The sequence below is a fragment of the Homo sapiens genome, chromosome 1 (genome assembly GCF_000001405.40).
Source record: "Homo sapiens chromosome 1, GRCh38.p14 Primary Assembly".
Lineage (NCBI taxonomy): Eukaryota > Metazoa > Chordata > Mammalia > Primates > Hominidae > Homo > Homo sapiens.
The window spans coordinates 6,128,677-6,149,227 of record NC_000001.11 but is presented as its reverse complement, the minus strand read 5'-3'; the positions used below and the strand labels follow the sequence as shown (position 1 = coordinate 6,149,227).

The 20,551-nt window shown below is 56.6% G+C and overlaps 1 protein-coding gene across 1 annotated transcript in view; it reads left to right on the top strand.

The window, feature by feature from the left end:
- CHD5 (chromodomain helicase DNA binding protein 5) overlaps positions 1–20,551 on the top strand; it is a 78,535-nt gene that overhangs the window by 31,094 nt on the left and 26,890 nt on the right. Inside the window, exons 9-23 of the mRNA NM_015557.3 lie at positions 153–374; positions 2,357–2,563; positions 2,805–3,016; positions 5,073–5,204; positions 5,297–5,405; positions 6,623–6,814; positions 6,900–7,100; positions 12,363–12,500; positions 12,590–12,711; positions 13,825–13,998; positions 14,369–14,510; positions 14,969–15,100; positions 17,480–17,597; positions 18,900–19,024; positions 20,159–20,390. Of these exons, the coding sequence (NP_056372.1) occupies positions 153–374; positions 2,357–2,563; positions 2,805–3,016; positions 5,073–5,204; positions 5,297–5,405; positions 6,623–6,814; positions 6,900–7,100; positions 12,363–12,500; positions 12,590–12,711; positions 13,825–13,998; positions 14,369–14,510; positions 14,969–15,100; positions 17,480–17,597; positions 18,900–19,024; positions 20,159–20,390 (2,458 nt within the window). The remainder of the gene's footprint in view (positions 1–152; positions 375–2,356; positions 2,564–2,804; positions 3,017–5,072; positions 5,205–5,296; positions 5,406–6,622; positions 6,815–6,899; positions 7,101–12,362; positions 12,501–12,589; positions 12,712–13,824; positions 13,999–14,368; positions 14,511–14,968; positions 15,101–17,479; positions 17,598–18,899; positions 19,025–20,158; positions 20,391–20,551) is intronic.

Here is a 20,551-nt window from a genome sequence, read left to right as displayed (position 1 = left end):
CCGGGCTGGGGGCGGGGCCACGCCTGGCTCCCCCACCCCTGTGCCCTCATTTGGGGGCAGAATGCGGGGAGATGCTGTAGGGGAGGGAGGGAGTCGGGCCTGGTGGAGCGGGGACCCCGCCCAGGGTGCCTCCACCTGGCCTCCTCCCCCAGGAGAAGGAGGGGATCCAGTGGGAGCCGAAGGACGACGACGATGAAGAGGAGGAGGGCGGCTGCGAGGAGGAGGAGGACGACCACATGGAGTTCTGCCGCGTGTGCAAGGACGGGGGCGAGCTGCTCTGCTGCGACGCCTGCCCCTCCTCCTACCACCTGCATTGCCTCAACCCGCCGCTGCCCGAGATCCCAAACGGTGAATGGCTCTGCCCGCGCTGTACTGTGAGTGTTCCGCCCGCCCCGCGCCGGACGCCCCGCCCCACCCCAGGAACAGGCCCCGCCCCCAGGGGAAGGCCTGCCCTCCTCAAAAGGCCCCGCCCCTGCCGGCTCCTGCCCCGCCTCGGTAGCCGATCCCGCAAAGCTTCGCCCGCGCTGCTCGAGACCCCGTCCACAATAGCTTCCTCGCGCCCTTCTCCGCGTCTGACTCCCCTAGAGACGGGAGGCATGAGTGTTAGGGAAAGGCAGACAGGTGTGGTGATCATGCCAACACCGCGACCACTGTTCAGTGACCACGTGCTCTGCAAGGGCTCCACATCCATCATAGTGTCCTTTAACATTACTGAGTATTCTGGCACCAGGCATGTTACTCCCTTTTTAGATGAGAAAACTGATGCTCAGGGAAGCAGAGTGACCTGCCTAAGGCCACACAAGGGCAGAACTATCCACTCAAATTCAGGTTCCTGGAGCCACCCCAGACCTGGCTCCTGTTCCAAGGCTGGGGATAGGGAGAGGGCAGGAGGCTTCTAGGGCAGGAGGCTCCTAGGGCGGGAGCCTCAGTTTCTACAGGAAGAGGGGCACCCCCCATCCGTCACCCCCCAGTCACAGTAGACATCGGAAGGCCCCTTGCTCTGAGCTGTCTGTCCTGCCCCCTGTGGTGCCAGATCCTCCACCCCTCAGGTCCTGGGCTGTGCCTCCTTTAGCCCTGGGCCGTCCTGTGTGCATTGTGCGTGTGTATGTGTGTGCGTGCATCCGTGCGCATACTTGTCTGTGTCTGTGTAGGGGCCAGGGGAGGACCCTTTTGAGGGGTGCAGCCTTCTGTGCTTTCCTAGGATTGATGGAAGGCCCTGGGGATGGGAGGGGGGCAGGAGTGGGGTTCCTCTCAGCTTCTTCCCTGAGGGGCTGGGATGGGGGTAGGAGGGTCCATGGCCTGGGTAGGAAGGGTCCCCTCTTCCACTCCCCCAAGAGCCAGTGGAGGAGCCTTTCCTGCCTCCCATGTCCTCCTCCTCCTCCTCTGCCTCTCGGCCTTTGCTGTCACCAAGGCCAAAGGAAGGCTGGCTGTGTGGTGTACCTTGCACCTCCAGAATGCCTTCAGGTGTGATGTGGCACCACAGATCTGGTAGGTGGAGGAAGGGGTGGGCCATTTTACAGATGGGAAAGCAGGCTCTGGAGGCTTGGATGAGTTTCCGAGGACAGGTAGTAGCAAAGCTGGGACCTGCTATCCCCACCAGAGCTGTCTCCCTGAATCAGTCACCCCCGACCCTGTCCAGTCAGACAGCACCGCCTCCTTGGAGGGCCAAGGCTGCTCCCACCCATCTCAGGGCCCGAGTGGTGTGGTTTGTGGCTGTTGTATTTCTTGCCTTTGCCAGCCAGCAGCTCACTGTCACCCTAGCATCTGTCAGGGCCCCTGCAGTGTGTCTGTGGGCTGCCAGAGATGGGGCCTCATTGTCCCAGCCTAGACGCACGGTGCCTGGGTGCAGCCCTGCCCCGGGTGAGGGATGGTGGATGGGGCTGCCGTGTCCCTGGGCTCCAGCACAGGGCTCATGCTCCCTGAGTGCTTGGGGATCACACAGTGATGTGACCTCTTTTCAGGGGGCAATGGGAAGACCTAAGGTAGGGGAAGTCCAGAATCTCATGTTCTGCTCCCTGCTCTGCTGTCCCTTGCCGAGTGGGCCTCAGTTTCCCCCTCTGTCCTATGCACATGGCAGTCTCACCTACGCTGGCTCAGATATTCTGGGTGCCGATAAGTTCACCATTGAGTGAAAGGGCCACGTGGTCTCACAGACCCCCACTGCCCATCTCCTGTGTGCATGACCCATGCGGCTCCTGGGGACGGGGTGGATGTCATGGCGTCACCGTGGTACTGTTCTGACTTGGGGGCAGTGGCACTGATGGGAGGGAGCCTGCATGGCAGCCTGCTGTCATGGGAGCCTCAGGGTGGGGCCCTGCAGCTGAGCCCCACCTTGGGGACCCTTCTCTGTCCACAGTGCCCCCCACTGAAGGGCAAAGTCCAGCGGATTCTACACTGGAGGTGGACGGAGCCCCCTGCCCCCTTCATGGTGGGGCTGCCGGGGCCTGACGTGGAGCCCAGCCTCCCTCCACCTAAGCCCCTGGAGGGCATCCCTGAGAGAGAGTTCTTTGTCAAGTGGGCAGGGCTGTCCTACTGGCATTGCTCCTGGGTGAAGGAGCTACAGGTGAGTGCCCGGGAGGGTGGCTGTGCTAAGGCCCGGGACCTGGTGAGCCCTGGACCCTCCTGGGCTGGCGGGAAGGGGCTGAAGCGCCTCTGACTGAGGGGTGCTGTTGGGAGTTGGGGTGGTGCTGAGCGGGAGGATTGTCCTGCCTGGGACCTGGGCTGGGGCTAGAGGAGCTGGGTAGGGAGATGCAGGGGACCATGGCCCATCTCCCTTCTGTGACTTTGTGCCGCTCCATGAGCAGCTGGAGCTGTACCACACGGTGATGTATCGCAACTACCAAAGAAAGAACGACATGGATGAGCCGCCCCCCTTTGACTACGGCTCTGGGGATGAAGACGGCAAGAGCGAGAAGAGGAAGAACAAGGACCCCCTCTATGCCAAGATGGAGGAGCGCTTCTACCGCTATGGCATCAAGCCAGAGTGGATGATGATTCACCGAATCCTGAACCATAGGTGTGTGCCTGCAGGCGGCCACCCTGCCCATCGCTGGGGCCGGGCCACGTCAGCTTCTTTGCCCTGTAAAATGGGTGCAGCGCAGGGTGCCAGGGCCCTTGCTTTGGGGCTGCCGTGCAGAACCACATGTGGGCACAGCAGGGGCACAAGGAAGGGCCCAGGGTTCCCAGTGCTGGAGATCTGCCTGACCTGCTAGAGGGGCCGTCCCATGCATGCCGGCACACTCATGCATACGTGTTCACACCCCTGGGGCGTCGGGACCCTCATGCTGGGTTAGTGCTTGATACCAGCAAGAGGGTTCTGAGGACGAGGGACGCCCGAGGTGTGGGAGTATGTCCACATTTCCCCCGCGTTTGTAACAGCAGCTGGCTGTACTGAGCACTGCCTACCCTGGGAGGGAGGCGTCTTACTTTCACCTCTGTTTTACTGATGTGAGAATAGGCACAGCAAGGTTAAGTCGCCAGAATCACACAGCCACGGGGTGGAGCTGGGATTTGAACCCCATGCTTTCTGACTGCAGGACCTGCTTTCTTAGCTACTGTTGCACCCCCCAGTGCCCCAGCAGCAGCTCTTCCTGGAGCAGTCTGGCAGTTCCCTGGGATGCCTTAGCAATCAGAGGCTGCAGGAGGCTGGCACAAAGAGCCAGAGGCAGGAGGCCCGTGGGCTTTGGTTTTGATTTGGTGGGTGGTGGGAATGCCTGCTGATTCTTGAGTTGAGGTGCTTGAGAACTGGTGGTGGCTGACAGATGGGCCTTGGGGTGGGGCCCAGAGTACCTGCTGCCTGGTGGCAGCTTGGAGCTTGTGCTCCCCATCCCAGCTACCCTGTGGCCTCTGTTTTTGAGGGGCTTAGGATCGGTGGCCTCTGACACTCAGTGCTTCTGGCTTCAGGCAGCTGTTGGGTAGAGCAGAGGTTAAAAGCCTGAGCCAGATGTTCAGATTTCAATCCCGGTTCCCATCTGCTGAGCTTTGAGGCCCTTTTAGGGAACAGGCTGCTGCACGGGTGACAGGAGCTTGCCAGAGGCTGGCTGTGGGTGGTCTTCAGTACGAGGGTCGCGGAATTTGAAAAACTGCCCCCCTTCAACTATGGGACACCCCCCTTTTCCTCCCCAGGCCTCCCTGAGAATGACCTTCAAGGGTCAGTTCCTGTGGGAACCTGAGCCCGGCAATGAATTGGCCCATGGTTTTCTACCTTTACTAAATTACATGCTAAAAATATACATGGTAGTTTTTCTCTCTGCCCCAAAGTGGGGCAGGTGAATCTCCCCCAGATTTGTTCCCCCAATCTGCAAAACAATCAATTATGTATGGGAAAACAAACAAACATCGGTTGCCGTGGTAACGGGATCGGTTTTTCTCTTAATGTTCCCAGGCCCGCAGCAGCCGCTGCTCACCGGGTCTGTGTGCCTCCTCGGCACTGCTGTGTGGGGTAGTCAAGCCCCAGCCCGGCCCTCCAGCACTCCTCTGGCCTGGTTGCCTTAGCCTGGGTGGGTGGGAGGCCCTAAAGACCCTCCCAGTGGCCAGAATCAAGCTGTGTGCTGCTGGGCTTGGTCACTGGGTCTTTGTGTCCCCAGAAGAGACCACCTCACACGCAGGAATTGCATCCTTATCTACTTTGCAGAGATGACTCCTCACCCTACGTGGGCACTGCACAAGTCCTTTGCGTATTTTAAGTTAGAAAACTGAGTCCATTGGCAGGAAGGAGAACTTTCCAACTTAGAAATCCAGAACTCCTGTGAAAATCCAGACCCTGTGACAAATGGGATTCATCCCTGCCACAGAGGCTGCAAAGGATGTGGGAGGCTGGCTCATTGCTCCTCTGTTAGCTGGCCTCCGTGTCCCTCTCCAGCTCTGCCACATCCCCCTCTCATTCGCTGTGTGGCCCCAGGCAAGCCGCTGCACCTCCCTGGAGCTTCTGCCCTCGTCTCCTCCTCCTGGCTGGGCCCAGCATCCGAGGGGACCCTGGGTGTGAATGGCTCTGCATCCTGGGAGGTGCCCTTCATCAAACCTGTGCTGTGGCCACTGCTCTGAGCGACCCACATCTGTTCACCGTGTTGCAGCTTTGACAAGAAGGGGGATGTGCACTACCTGATCAAGTGGAAAGACCTGCCCTACGACCAGTGCACCTGGGAGATCGATGACATCGACATCCCCTACTACGACAACCTCAAGCAGGCCTACTGGGGCCACAGGTGGGTCGCAGGGATCCGGCTGCTAGGCACAGGCTGCCGGGACCTGCTCCTGGGCTGAGCCTTGCTCACCTGCCTCCAATGCCGTTTCCCAGGGAGCTGATGCTGGGAGAAGACACCAGGCTGCCCAAGAGGCTGCTCAAGAAGGGCAAGAAGCTGAGGGACGACAAGCAGGAGAAGCCGCCGGACACGCCCATTGTGGACGTGAGTGGGGAGGGTGGGGCAGCAGTGGGTGGGGTTGCCAGGGCCTGCCCACCTCAGACTTGAATGTGCAGGGGGTGTGTGTTCTCAAAAGGATGTTTCCTTGGGCCCTCATGGCTTATGCAGACAGTGTCATGCCCATGTAGGCTAGGACAGCTGGAAGGCCCCTCATAACACTGCAGCTGACATGCTACTTACACACCACTCTCACCTGGGAGGAGACCCAGGATGACTCACTCAGCAGAGCTCCCTGGGTGTCCACTAGCGCCTGGCCCTGGGTTGGCCCTGAGGAGACGAGGGCCAGTGAGCCCTGGGTAGCTGTTTCAGAAGACACACTGTCTTCTAGGGGCCCTTGGTGGGTATCCACAGAACACGGAGGGCCTGGCCTGGGACTATCAGGCGCCTGTCAGATGCTGGGGAAAGGCAGATGGGCCTGGTCCATTGGGAGGACTGCATGGGGCCAGTGACCTGGAGCAGGATCAAGAGACAAATGGGCCGGGCATGGTGGCTCATGCCTGTAATCCCAGCACTGTGGGAGGCCGGGGTGGGAGGACCGCTTGAACCCAGAAGTTTGAGGCAACGTAGTGAGATCCCACCTCTACAAAAAATTAGCCAGGCACGGTGGTGTGCCTGTGGTCCCAGCTACTAGGGAGGCTGAGGTAGGAGAATCCCTTGAGCCCAGGAAATTGAGGCTGCAGTGAGCCATGATTGTGCCACTGCACTCCAGCCTGGGCAACAAAGACTCTGTCTCAAAAAAAAAAAAAGTAAATGTCTGGATCCAGTGGAGGAGCCTGTTACTGGGGGCGTTGCGAATGCCCCAGATGGATGTTCGTTTTGTTGTTCATCCAAAAAATGGTGAGTAAGTGACCACATGTCCCAGGCACTGTGTGGTACTCAAGAGGAGGCAGTGAACAGGACCAAGGTGGTGATGACAACCTGGGCTCAGAGTCAGAGAATTCAACAGTCGGGAAATTTCCCTGATAGGAGAAGTACAGGGCTGCCATGGGAGGACACTGTGGGAGCACTTCAGCCAGGCTGGGAGTCAGGGAGGGCTTCCTAGAGGAAGAGGTGTTCCATCCAAGAACTGGAGAAGAGTTAGGAAGACAGACAGGAGTGGGAAGAGTGTTCCAGGCAGAAGGAATTGCATGTGCAAAGGCCTGTAGTGTGGACTCTGGTGGCCCAGGATCTGGGGCGTGTCTGAACCGCTGCCTCCCCTGCAGCCCACGGTCAAGTTCGACAAGCAGCCATGGTACATCGACTCCACAGGCGGCACACTGCACCCGTACCAGCTGGAGGGCCTCAACTGGCTGCGCTTCTCTTGGGCCCAGGGCACTGACACCATCCTGGCCGATGAGATGGGTCTGGGCAAGACGGTGCAGACCATCGTGTTCCTTTACTCCCTCTACAAGGAGGTGGGCAGGCGGGGCAGGCGGCCAGGAGGGGTGGCTGGTCCTGGCCAAGGGCAGGTGGTCTCACGGCATCGGCCTCTCTCTCCAGGGCCACTCCAAAGGGCCCTACCTGGTTAGCGCGCCCCTCTCCACCATCATCAACTGGGAACGCGAGTTTGAGATGTGGGCGCCCGACTTCTACGTGGTCACCTACACGGGGGACAAGGAGAGCCGCTCGGTGATTCGGGAGAACGAGTTTTCCTTTGAGGACAACGCCATTCGGAGTGGGAAGAAGGTATTCCGTATGAAGGTGAGGGCTCGCTATCCTTGGAAGGACGGTAGGAAGGCCCCCGGTCTAGTTCAGGGACCACGGGTGCCGTGCACTCCTTTGGGGTCCCTCAGCCTGGGAGGGCTACCGAGGCCGGCAGGCTCTGAGGGGCTTGTCCTAGAGGCTGAGTTACAGCCATGTCAGTTTTCTGGGGCTCCTGTAACAAAGTGTCACAAATGGAGTGGCTTCAAACAGCAGAAATGTATTCGGTCACAGTTCTGGAGGCTGGAGGTTGGAAATCAAGGTGAGGGCAGGGCCACGTGCCTCTGAAAGCCCTAGGGGAGAACCCTTCCTTCCTCCTTCCAGCCTCCTGGTGGCGGCAGGGGTTCACTGGCCTACAGCTGTCGCGTCAGTTTCTGCCTCTGTTAGCACATGGGGTTTTCCCGTTTGTGTCTGTTTCTCATCCTATAAACACATCATTCATACTGGATGTAGGGCCTACCCTAATCCAGTATGATCTCATCTTAGCTACTTATTTTATTTATTTATTTATTTATTTTTTTGAGACACTGTATCGCCCAGGCTGGAGTGCAGTGGGGCGATCTCGACTCACTGCAACCTCCCCGTCCTGGGCTCAAGTGGTTCTCCCACCTCAGCCTCGTGAGTAGCTGGGACTCCAGGAGTGCGCCATCATGGCCGGCTAATTTTGTATTTTTTGGTAGAGACAGGTTTCACCATGTTGGCCAGGCTGGTCTTGAGCTTGTGACCTCAAGTGATCTGCCCTTCTCAGCCTCCCAAAGTGCTGGGATTGCAGGAGTGAGCCACTGTGCCTGGCCCCAACTAATTATTATTATTATTATTATTAATTATTATTATTATTTTTTTGAGACGGAGTCTCACTCTGTCGCCCAGGCTGGAGTGCAGTATGGCACGATCTCAGCTCACTGCAACCTCTGCCTCCCGGTTCAAGCAATTCCCATGCCTCAGCCTCCAGAGTCGCCGGGATTACAGGCACATGCCGCAATGCCCAGCGAATTTTTTGTATTTTGGTAGAGACAGGGTTTTACCATGTTGCCCAGGCTGGTCTCGAACTCCTAAGTTCAGGCGATCTGCCTGCCTTGGCCTCCCAAAGTGTTGGGATTCCAGGTGTGAGCCACCACGCTCAGCCTATTATTATTATTATTATTATTATTATTATTATTTTGAGACAGGGTCTCGCTCTGTCACCCAGGCTAGAGTGCAGTGATTGATCATAGCTCACTGCAGCCTTGACCTCCCGGGAGCTGGGACTACAGGTACACACCACCACACTCAGCTAAGTTCTAAATTTTTTGTAGAGATGGATTCTCCGTATGTTGCTCAGGCTGGTCTTGTACTTCTGGGCTCAAGTGATCCTCCTGCCTCAGCCTCCCAAAGCATGGGGATTATAGGCATTGAGCCACCATGCCCAGACAACTAATTATGTCTGCAAAGACCCTATTTCCAAAAGAGCTTCTGGGTGGACATGAATGTTGGGGGGACACTATTCAATGCAGTGCACCAGCTGTGTGACTTCTGGCAAGTCACGTGGCCTCACTGGGTCTCAGTGTTTTCTCAGCAAAATGGAGTTAACAGACACACCCCACAGAGTCAAGTGAGTTAATAAGCATGAGGTCTCATGGTGCTGTGAACCCTGCAAGGTCTTGTTAAAGCACAGTCTCTGACCCAGCAGTGCTGGGGTGGGGCCCGAGCCTCTGCATTTCTTTTTCTTTTTCTTTTCTTTTTTTTTTTTGAGATGGAGTCTCACTCTGTCGCCAGGCTGGAGTGCAGTGGTGCGATCTGGGCTCACTGCAACCTCTGCCTCCCAGGTTCAAGCGATTCTCCTGCCTCAGCCTCCCAAGTAGCTGGGACTACAGGCGCGTGCTACCACACTCAGCCGCTTTTTGTATGTTTAGCAGAGACTGGGTTTCACATGTTGGCCAGGATGGTCTCGATCTCTTGACCTCATGATCCGCCCACCTCGGCCTCTTAAGGTGCTGGGATTACAGGCTTGAGCCACCGCACCTGGCCTGAGCCTCTGCATTTCTAAACCCTCTCCACATTGAGGAATGAGGACTTGTAGCCATTGGCCCCTAGAAGATGTCAGTGCTACAGCCTTGGGGGCTGGTGGATCCTCGCACAGGCCCTCCGAGTCCCTCAGGTCGGCCTCCTCCACTGCCTCCTAGCAGCTGTGGCTCTTAGAGATGCTCGGAAACTGTTGAATGAGTGAATGAATCGATGATCCCACAGGTGACTTTGTAGATGGATGAGCCCCTGGATCATCAGACGCAAAAGAACCTCCCCTGAGCCACACTGGGACCCTGCCGTGTGCCAAGCACTTTGCTGATTTGGCTCTTCTATTTTATTGTTAAGAGTTGTGGTAAAATACACATAATGTAAAACTTACCATCTTAACCGTTTTTAAAAGTACAGTTCAGCTGGGCACAGTGGTGTGCACCTGTAGTCCTAGCTACTTGGGAGGCTGAGGCAGGAGGATTGCCTGAGCCCAGGAGTTCGAGGCTGTAGTGCGCCATGATTGTGTCTGTGAATAGCTGTTGTACTCTTGCCTGGGCAACATAATGAGACTCTGTCTCTTTAAAAAAAAAAAAAAAATCAGCCGGGCACGGTGGCTCACCCCTGTGATCCCAGCACTTTGGGAGGCCGAGGCGGGTGGGTCACCTGAAGTCAGGAGTTTGAGACCAGCCTGGCCAACACGGTGAAACCCTATCTCTGCTAAAAATACAAAAATTAGCCAGGCGTGGTGGTGGGTGCCTGTAATCCCAGCTATTCAGGAGGCTGAGGCAGGAGAATCGCTTGAACCTGGGAGGCGGAGGCTGCAGTGAGCACCATTGCACTCCAGCCTGGGCAACAAGAGCTAAACTCTGTCTCAGAAAAACCAAAACAACAACAACAACAACAACAAAACAACAACAGAACAGTTTAGTAGTGTTAAGTACATTCACATTGGTATGCAACCAGTCTGCAGAACTCTTTTCATCTTGCAAAGTGGAAACTGTCCCCATTAAACATGAACATCCCCACCACCTCGAGCCCCTGGCAGCCACCCATCTACTGTCTGTCTCCACGAGGTTGACTACTCTGGGTACTTCATATGAGTAGAATCGGGAAACATCTATCTTTTTGTCACTGGCTCATTTCACTGAGCAGAATGTCCTTGAGGTTCATGCATGTTGTGGCACGGGTCAGAATTTCCTTCCAAGGCTGGAGAACCCCCATCACAGGGATAGACCACATTTTGTTTATCTGTTCATCTGTTGTTGAGCACTTGGGCTGCTTCTGGCTTTTAGTGGTCGTCAGTAACGCTGATGGGAAGGATTATGGGTGTGCACATATCCCTTTGTGTCCCTGCTTTCCTGTCTTTTGGGTATACACCCAGAAGTGGAACTGCCGGATCATATGGTAATTCTATTTCTGATTTTTTGAGAAACAGACTTAGCTCTTTGAGATCTCATAGCATTCTTCACCTAGATAGGCGAGGAGACCGATGCTCGGCTAAAAGATTGTGTGCAAACCCAGGTGCCACGTGCAGGCAAAGCCTATGCTGCACGGCATCCTCGGCCCTCTCTGCTCTCTCACAGGCATGTGGGCTGCTGGGAGAGGCAGGCTTGGTGCAGCACAGGACAGGCCTACATCACTGGGGGAGACCGGTGCAAAATGAAAATGCAGGGCTCGCAGGAAAACAGCTTTTTCCTTTCTTCTGTGGTCTCTGTCAACATGCCAAGGTGTTTTAAATTTGCTTGCTTTTTTTTTTTTGGAGACAGAGACTCACTCTGTCACCCAGGCTGGAGTGCAATGGTGTGATCTCGGCTCACTGCAACCTCTGCCTTTTGGGTTCAAGTGATTCTCCCGCCTCAGCCTCCTGAGTAGCTGGGACTACAGATGTCCACCAACACGCCTGGCTGATTTTTGTATTTTTTAGTAGAGATGGGGTTTGGCTATGTTGGCCAGGCTGGTCTCCAACTCCTAGCCTCAAGTGATCCTTCCACCTTAGCCTCCCAAAGTGCAGGGATTATAGGCGGGAGCCACTGTGCCTGGCCTAAATTTGCTTTTTAAAGTCGTGTTCCTTCAGGTGTGGGGATCCTCACCGGGAGAGTGCAGACCCTCACAGGCACCAGGCCCTGTCCTGGAACTTGGTGCATAGACCGGGTGCCTGGCTCCCCCTCCCCAACCAGCACCCAGGTCCAGGCCCCCACCAGGGGGAGTAGGGGGACAGTGGTCACCAGGCAGGGGCAGGGGAGCAGGGAATGAGAACCTGTCCCAGGGAGGCTCCACGCCCCCAGCACACACTCCATTGTCCCCTGGGATATTTGTTACAAAACACAAATTCAACAATAAACAACAAAATGATTAATAATTTCACATCAGCAACCTCAGGGCATTAAACCCCAAGTGCAGGGTCCCTTTCTCTGTTCATATCCTGGCTATGCCATTTGTTAGCTATGGGTACCTGGGAGAGTGCTCCAGCCTGAGGCCCCCTGAGCTTTAAATGGGGATAAAAGGCCAGGTGCGGTAGCTCACGCCTGTATTCCCAGTACATTGGGAGACTGAGGCAGGAGGATTGCTTGAGGCCGGGAGTTTGAAGCCAGCCTAGTTAACATAGAGAGATCTCTCTCCAAAAGACAAACATAACCCTGGGGGGAGTGGGGGATAAAGGACACAATTGAGCTTGTATGTTTTGTTAGGATGAGGTGAGAGTGGAAACAAAGTAATAAGCCCAGAGCCAGGGCTGGTCGTGGTGGCTCACGCCTGTAATCCCAACACTATGGGAGGTCGAGGTGGGCGGTTCACTTGAGTTCAGAAGTTTGAGACCAGCTTCAGCAACATGGTGAAACCCTGTCTCTACAAAAATACAAAAATTAGCTGGGTGTGGTAAGGCATGCCTGTAGTCCCAGCTACTCGGGAGGCTGAGATGGGAGGATTGCTTGAGCCTGGGAGGTGGAGGCTGCAAGTGAGTGGTGATCGTGCCACTGTACTCCACGCTGGGGGGTGGGAGTAAGACACTGTCTCACTGGAGCTGTTACAAGCCGAGGCCGTTTCTTCTCCTCCTCCACACCACCCTCTCTCAGGGCTGTGTTCTGAGCCTCAGTGGATGCCCCTCTGCTTGGTGGTCAGCATCTGCCCCTCTGGTCCTAGGCTGGCCGGCCCAGGGCTCCGTGGAGCCTTTGTGGGTTCCTGTGCACACCTCCTTCTTGGCTCTTTGTCTCCTGGGACTGTGATCCGCTCTGCTCCCAGCCGTCTCATCCCCAATGCCCCTCTTTTCTCCAGAAAGAAGTGCAGATCAAATTCCACGTGCTGCTCACCTCCTATGAGCTCATCACCATTGACCAGGCCATCCTGGGCTCCATCGAGTGGGCCTGCCTGGTGGTAGATGAGGCCCACCGCCTCAAGAACAACCAGTCCAAGGTAGGTGGCGCTGGCCGCCAGACCCCAGAGCTTCCCGGGGCGAGGGGCCGCCCAGAGCCCCCTGACAGGCCCCACTCTCCTCCCCTCAGTTTTTTAGGGTCTTAAACAGCTACAAGATTGATTACAAGCTGCTGCTGACAGGGACCCCCCTTCAGAACAACCTGGAGGAGCTGTTCCATCTCCTCAACTTCCTGACTCCAGAGAGGTTCAAGTGAGTCACCTGGATCTGGCTAGGGAGGTGGTGGTGGGGCTGGGTGGCCCCAGTGAAGACGGATCAATAGCCCATCCTGGCTGTGAGACCTGCTCGGCCGTTGCTTCCTCATCAGTAAAATGGGAGCATTAGCAATGTCCCCGCTTTGACCTCCTGCAGGAGCAGGGTGTTGGGGTGGGTGGCGTGGGCACATGGGAATGTTTGGTAAATATCAACTGCTGCTAATACCACGACTTTTCCTTAGCTCTGCCCTAGACCACCCGGGGTTCCTCCTGGACTGCCTCCCCTGGCAGGTTCCTTTCCCTCCACTGAGACCCAAGTGACTCACATAGGCAACCGTGGTGGAGGCAGAGGCAAGCTCCCCGGTGGCCGGAGCCCACCGCCCCATCCCCCTCATCTTCACCTACCTCCACTTGCCTGCTCAGAATGGGGGGTTCAGGGTGCACAGTGTCGATTTTGGAATCAGGAGATGCAGTGTTTTTTTTTTTTGTTGTTTTTTTTTATTAAAAGAAAGAGTCTCACTCTGTCACCCAGGCCAGAGTGCAGTGGCTTGATCTCAGTTCACTGCAACCTCCGCCTCCTGGGTTCAAGTGATTCTCCTGCCTCAGCCTCCTGAGTAGCTGGGATTACAGGCATGTGTCACCACGCCCGGCTAATTTTTGTATATCTTTAGTAGAGTTGGGGTTTCATCATATTGGCCAGGCTGGTCTTGAACTCCCGACGGGTGATCTGCCCGTCTCGGCCTCCCAAAGTGTTGGGATTACAGGCATGAGCCACCAGGAGATGTAGATTTGAGGGCCGGTTTTGGCACAGCTGGACTGTATCAACTCGGGCACTCATCAGAGTCAGTTTCCTCATCTGTTATCTGGGTAATAGAGAGCTCCTGTCCAGGACGGTTTTGAGGATGGAAAGGTGTCCAGTGTGGCTGAGGAAAAGAGGGCTGTGATGTGTGGAGGTGACACAGGCTTAGACAGAAATTGAGACGATATCCAGGGCAATGCCAGGGCTCCCTGGTTCACCAGCTAGCCGGCCTACATGGGCTAGGCGCTCTGCACCCTGCCTCCCCTGCCCCGGTCCTCTGCTCCTGGCTGTTATCCCAGCTTTTTGTTGCAGCAACCTGGAGGGCTTCCTGGAGGAGTTTGCTGACATCTCCAAGGAAGACCAGATCAAGAAGCTGCATGACCTGCTGGGGCCGCACATGCTCAGGCGGCTCAAGGCTGACGTGTTCAAGAACATGCCGGCCAAGACCGAGCTCATTGTCCGGGTGGAGCTGAGCCAGATGCAGAAGTGAGTGATGGGCTGACCCCGGAGCAGCCTGTGCTCGCCCTTTCCCCTGGGCTGGTCTCCTGGGTCGATTCCCAGGTGGGCGGAGGGCTCTTCAGCCTCACTGAGGTCTCGGCTAATGCTTTGCATACACTTTCTTCGTGGGGCCTCTTCTCAGGTTTTAGTGACCAGAGTTTGGGTCGCTTGAGTGCTGGCAGTGTCCCCCAGTCACTTGCAGGGGGACTCCAGGCCGGTGGCTTCACCTCTTGGGGGTCCCTTGGGTCTCTCTGTAAATGGGTGCTTGGCCACCAGCTTCCAGCCCCACTGCAGAGCAGAGAGAGCCCTCATGGAGGCGGGTCTGACCCAGCCTGCCTTTCCTCGTGCCCTGCTGCAGGAAGTACTACAAGTTCATCCTCACACGGAACTTTGAGGCACTGAACTCCAAGGGGGGCGGGAACCAAGTATCGCTGCTCAACATCATGATGGACCTGAAAAAGTGCTGCAACCACCCCTACCTCTTCCCTGTGGCTGCCGTGGTAGGTTTCCCCGGCCATCATGGCAGCTTCTCCATGACCGCCATGGTAGGTGCCTGTGGCCGCCATGGTAGGTCCCTGTGGCCGCTGTGATAGGTTCTCCTGGCCATTGTGGCGATTTCTGTGGCTGTCATGGTAGGTTTCCCTGGCCATCATGGAAGGTTGCCTGTGGCCACTCTGGTAGGTGCTGGGGAACTTACCGTGGAACCCGCTGCTGTGGTAGGGCTGGTGCGGCTGTGAGCCCTGCCTGGGAACGGGGGGCCTGGAGCCAGGGCCGTGGGACCCACGGTCTACCCCGCACTGTGGGGCCTGGCCTGGCTCGGGTGTGGGTCTCATGTTCAGTGGGCAGACAGGCCATCACCCCATTGCTCAGCACTTGTCTGTTCCCTGCGGCCCCTTTGGTGCAGAGTCAGAGAGGAGAGGGGAGCCCACCAATGCCCCACCTCCTGCTGTGTCTGCAGGAGGCCCCTGTCTTGCCCAATGGCTCCTACGATGGAAGCTCCCTGGTCAAGTCTTCAGGGAAGCTCATGCTGCTACAGAAGATGCTGAAGAAACTGCGGGATGAGGGGCACCGTGTGCTCATCTTCTCCCAGGTGCGCTGCCCCTGCCCACCCCCGCCCCGGCTCCACACCCCACAGAGAGCATCCTGCCCTGATGCTTGGGGGCGCAAACTTGCTGGCACCCCTCAGGGCCCAGTGCCGTTCCCATGTGGGTCATGTGACTGTGTGTCAGGGGTCACTCCCCCGTGCCCTGGCATAATGCGGCTGAGGAGCTCAGAACACATTTGCCATAAAGAGCAACATCTCCCCACACCTGCCCTTCTGGTCTGCATGTCCAGGCTGGTAGGACAGCCCCTCCTCCCCTGCCCTGGCCCTCTCCCCCGCAGCCTGGCTTCTCATTAAGGTAGGGCCCTGGGGTGTGGTTGGGAGGAGCCCCTCTCTCCAATAGGCCCTGAGGGGCCACTGGCACCTGGCTTTTTGGCTTGGAGGCAGGGCCGCCGGCTCAGGTGTGTTCATTTCTTCCTCCATCCCTTTGTTTGCGTCTGTCATAGTCAGGCTCTGTGCTGGCACATGGGTGCAGGGACCAGTGATCTAGTCCCTGTCCTCAAGCTGCTCAGTCTACTGTGGGAGACAGCTCAAGGGACAGGTACCCGACCCTGTGGTCAGCTCTGTGTTGGAGGCCACAGTGATGATCCTACAGGGTCATGGGGCTAAAAATGCTCCTCTCGTGGGCCCACTGAGCCAGGCCCCTTGCTCAAACCCAGAGTCTGGGCTATGGCTCCTTGTGCACAAACATCAACTGAAAGCAGCGTCCGCCGCCTGCAGCCCCAGGTCACCCTGCTGGGCTGCTTCAGCCCGAAGAATACTGGAAAGCAGGGCAAGTTTGAGACCAGGGGCTGAGCCAAGGAGTGGGCTGGAGTGGAGATGGACCCACATCCCCCCAGTACCTCGGTACCAACACGAGACGCAAGTCTGATCAGAGGCCTTGAGATACCAAGTAATGGGAACCACACAGCTTCCAGAAATGTGCACACAGGGCAAGCGACAGAGACGGGGCCCTCCTGCCCAAAATGAGCCTATGAACCCCAATTCCAAACCCATACAAAAGTGAATGCTGAGACATCCCCCAAAACAATAAATAGAATCCAAATAAGAAAATAGGGGCTGGGCGCAGTGGCTCACCCTGTAATCTCAGCGACTTGGGAGGTTGAGGCAGGAGGATTGCTTGAGCCCAGGAGTTCAGGGTTGCAGTGAGCTGTGATCTTGTCACTTCACTCCAGTCTGAGTGACAGAGCAAGACCCTGTCTCTTGAGAGAGAGAGAGAGAGAGAGAGAGAGAGAAAAGAATAGGATAGCCTGAAAAGACTTTACATAGATGTGTTTAGGATCCTCAAAAATGATGGAGTAATTGACACCCTAAAATAAAGAAGAAATTAAGCAAAAGCAGGAAGAACTGAAATAGGAACAATTGGATAGAAACATGCATGAAATTGAGATAAAACATTTCAACAGACTGGACAGACTCTGAACACTGTTGAAGAGAACATTGATAAATTGGAACCTGGTGCTGAGGCATTTTCCCAGAATGCAATGTACAGAGACAAAGATAAAACAGGGAGAACATGGAAGACACCTTGAGATGCTCCAACAATCATCCAATTGGAGTTGCAGAAGAAACAGAAAAAATGGTGAAGAAGTTGGATTTGTTGAGAGTTTGCAGACCTGGAGAGAAATGTGAGGTCTCAGATCTGGAGTGCATTCTGGAATAGCAAGCAAGATAAATATAAATAAATGAACCCGTAGACACGTTAGAACCTCTAGGTACTTTAGACCTAGTACCTACAAAATAAGGGCAGCCAGATCGTTCTCAGACTTCTTAACAACAACAGGTGGCAGAGACCATGGCAAAATCTCCGGTGCACTGAGGGAAAATGTGTGCTGATAGTTTTATATCCAGCTAAACTCTCTCTCGAGAATAAAGGGAATTATACGGGGTCATGGGAGCTCAGAAGGGACTGCCTTTCTTTTCTTATGGGGAGGAGTGAAATCAGGGAAGACATCACAGAGGTGATGTTTATGTTCCCTAGGCAGTAAGGGGGTGGGCATTCCAGGAAGAGAGTCAGGTAGTTTGGAATGGCTGGGGGCTGTGAAGGAGCACTCGTCCTGCAGCGCCTTGAATACAGGGCAGTGAGATGGAACTTAATTCTGTGTGGTGGGAGCAGGGGAGGCTCATGTCAGAGCCCTGATTTAGGTAAGTGGCTGTGGGGCTAGGCAGGAGGATGGATTGGCTCCAAGGGGTGAGGTTGGAAGCTTTGTTCTTCCCCAGAGTCCTGCATTGGGCCTGCCTGGGTCCCAGCTGTCTCCCCACCTAGCAGGCAGCTCTCTCCTCCCCTGCCTGTGGCGGGGTCCCCGCCCATGGCCCATGGGGCCCCTTGCTCCTTGGCAGTTCCTCACGTGCCCGTCTCCCCTGCAGATGACCAAGATGCTGGACCTCCTGGAGGACTTCCTGGAGTACGAAGGCTACAAGTATGAGCGGATTGATGGTGGCATCACCGGGGGCCTCCGGCAGGAGGCAATCGACAGATTCAATGGTACCCCCATCCTGCCCAAGGGTTCTGATTGAGACTCCTTTTTGGCCTCTTCTCCCAGGCCTGGTTCTTAGCCAGGTCACCCAGCTGGTGTTGTGTTGAGCAGCCTCACAAACAGCTAAAGACAGCAGGCCAGTCCGAGTTTCCAATGTTAAAAGGATTCCTCCCATGGAATCGGAGTTCTGAGGGGCCCAGTAGATAACACCTGTTGGGAATGGAGTTAGACAATGAGAAACGCAGACGGGGCCTCTAATATTGACGCCAGGTGAGCCCCAGTTACAAGTGGTGTTGGACAGAGCCTGCCGTATGGTGAATGGTGGCAGAAGGTACAGAGATGCACGTGCTACCTGGGGCCACTTCCAGAGGCAGGAGAGAGTGAAAGGGCTGGGCCACACATGATCAGGCTCTTTCCCCAGAGTCACCCATGCTTGGTCTTCCCTGCCTGGGAAGGAGAGGCGAGGGTGGAGGTCAGGAGGGTCTTGCCGGTGGAGTTCCTCCTGTAGCAAAAGAAACTTCTGGAGTGGGAAGCAGTCGGCTGTAAGCTTCAGTAGCAAGTTTGCAGCAAATAGTAACAAGCTTTGTTTCCCTGGGGCGTCAGCCCTTAGGGGCTGGGGCCACGCTCTCCAAACGCCCAAAGCAGTGATTCCTCTCAAACACTTGTGCCAGAGAGCCAGGAGGAATAGCAAGTTCAGAGTTTCAGGGTCTAGACGTGGCCCAGCCACATGTGGAAGCAGGAGTGGCTGAAGCCCTGGGTGTGCCAGGGGCCTGTTTGCAGCTCCAGTGGGGGCTGTGGTCAGTCCCAGGTCACTGAAGGGCCCTGAGAGGCTGAGAACCAGCCATCCTGTGACAGGGTTGCCCAGTGGGGTGGGACCCCAGGTCCCGGAGCTGCGCCCCTGAGTTTTCCCGGGCTGCCCTGGCAGCATCGGTGGGCTAAGGGAAGCCAGGGGTGGGAAGCTGCGGGGACATGAAGGACTCTGAGCTCTCTAGGGCTCTGCTTGTACTTGCTGGCGGCTTGCACTTTGTTTTTTGCTCATCTGGGGTTTGAAAATTGACCTCCTCGTTCCAGTGCCCTCCCACTGCACTAGGGCTCAGAGCTCGCTGGGGGCTAAGTGGGCTTGGGCAGGCCTCCTCTGGCTCCCCTGAGTGCAGCTGTGGCCACCCGTCTCTGATGGGGTCTCCGGCTTTGTCCTTCTCTGCCAGGGATCTGTTGCTGCAGTTCCTTCTCTCTGTTCTCTCCCCCATCCTTTCTGCCCACCCAAGGTGTACCCCCCCAAACACTCCCATCTGCTGGCCTCTCTTTTTCAGCCCCCGGGGCCCAGCAGTTCTGCTTCCTCCTCTCAACCCGGGCAGGTGGTCTGGGCATCAACCTGGCCACGGCGGACACTGTCATCATCTACGACTCGGACTGGAACCCGCACAATGACATCCAGGTCTGTGCTGCTGCCGCCCACCACCCTCCCAGGGGGCCTCTCATCCCGGGCCTCAGGCAGGTTCTGTCCTTCATGCCCTTCTTGCCATCACCCCCTCACCTATCCTGGTGCTGTGGGCCTCCCTCCCCCGTGGAGTCTCGGCCCCAAGAGGGGCTCTGGGAGTGAGTGGAAGCTTGGCCCCCATCCCTCCAGCTCTGTCCTTGTCCAGAGGAGGAAGCAGGCTTGGAGAGGGCAGGGGAAGTGTCCCAGGGCGCACAGCAGTTCCTAGTGGCCACTGATCTGGTCTTTCCCATCATCCTCAGGACCAAGGCCGTGGAGGGAGGCAGGAAGAGGGAGCCCTGGGACCCAGAGGGGCACCCATTTTGAAGGGGGTGGGGAGCAGAGAGTGGGGCCTGTTGGAGGTGGAGGGGAGGATAAGATAGTGCAAGGGGCAGATGGGGCTGTAAGGAAGGATGGAAGGGCTGTGGGGGGAGGGGTATGGGAATAGAGCCACCCTAGTGTACCTGGCCACCCCTCTCGGGCGCTGGGACACACACATTGAATGCTTACAAATGTAGGGGAACACATACAAATTGATGTCTCATTCACATGTGTGTGCGCCCATGCACATACACAGATATACACGGCCACACCCAGGTCACCTCATGTAGGGCTGCACAGAGTCTCAGGCACTTCCTTGTATTATACTGGGCAGATTCAGCTCCTTGCTGCCCTCAGAAGGTGGCTGCGTGTCTCCAGCACATGGTCTTGTGGTCCCATTAGTGGTTCGCTCACAGGGAAATGCAGCCTCCTACCTCCCCGTGGCCCCCACGAAGCTCTGTGTGGCTTCAGTTACACCCAGCACACTGGCCGTATCATCCCTCACACACTCTTGCACACCTGCAGTCCTGCCTGCTTCCAATGGCTAGAAGCTTTTCCACTCCAAACCCAGCCTGGCACCCAGGCTTGTGGGAGGCTCCGCAGTCAGGGAGGGAGCCCAGCTGCAGTGGTGGGCTCCACACACCTGGACGCACCACACGCCTTTCCCTACACAGTCATGCAGCCCATTCCATGCTCTTGAGCTCATGGGTGTGATCTCCTCCATTGCCTGGAGCCCTGGGTGAGCCACGGGTGCTGAGGTGCAGGTCTCCCCAGGCCTTCAGCCGCGCCCACCGCATCGGCCAGAACAAGAAGGTGATGATCTACCGCTTCGTGACTCGGGCCTCGGTGGAGGAGCGCATCACGCAGGTGGCCAAGCGCAAGATGATGCTCACCCACCTGGTGGTGCGGCCCGGCCTCGGCTCCAAGTCGGGGTCCATGACCAAGCAGGAGCTGGACGACATCCTCAAGTTCGGCACGGAGGAACTCTTCAAGGACGACGTGGAGGGTGGGCCTCTGTTCCGAGGGAGCGTGGCAGGGGACTGGGGTGGCCCGGCTGAGACACCCATCCAGGGCTTGCTTGGGTCCCTGCCCGCTCCAACACACAGCCTCTCTTCTGCACCCCCCACCTGTATCTCCTGGCTAGGACAGCCCAGGGTGGTGTCTCTG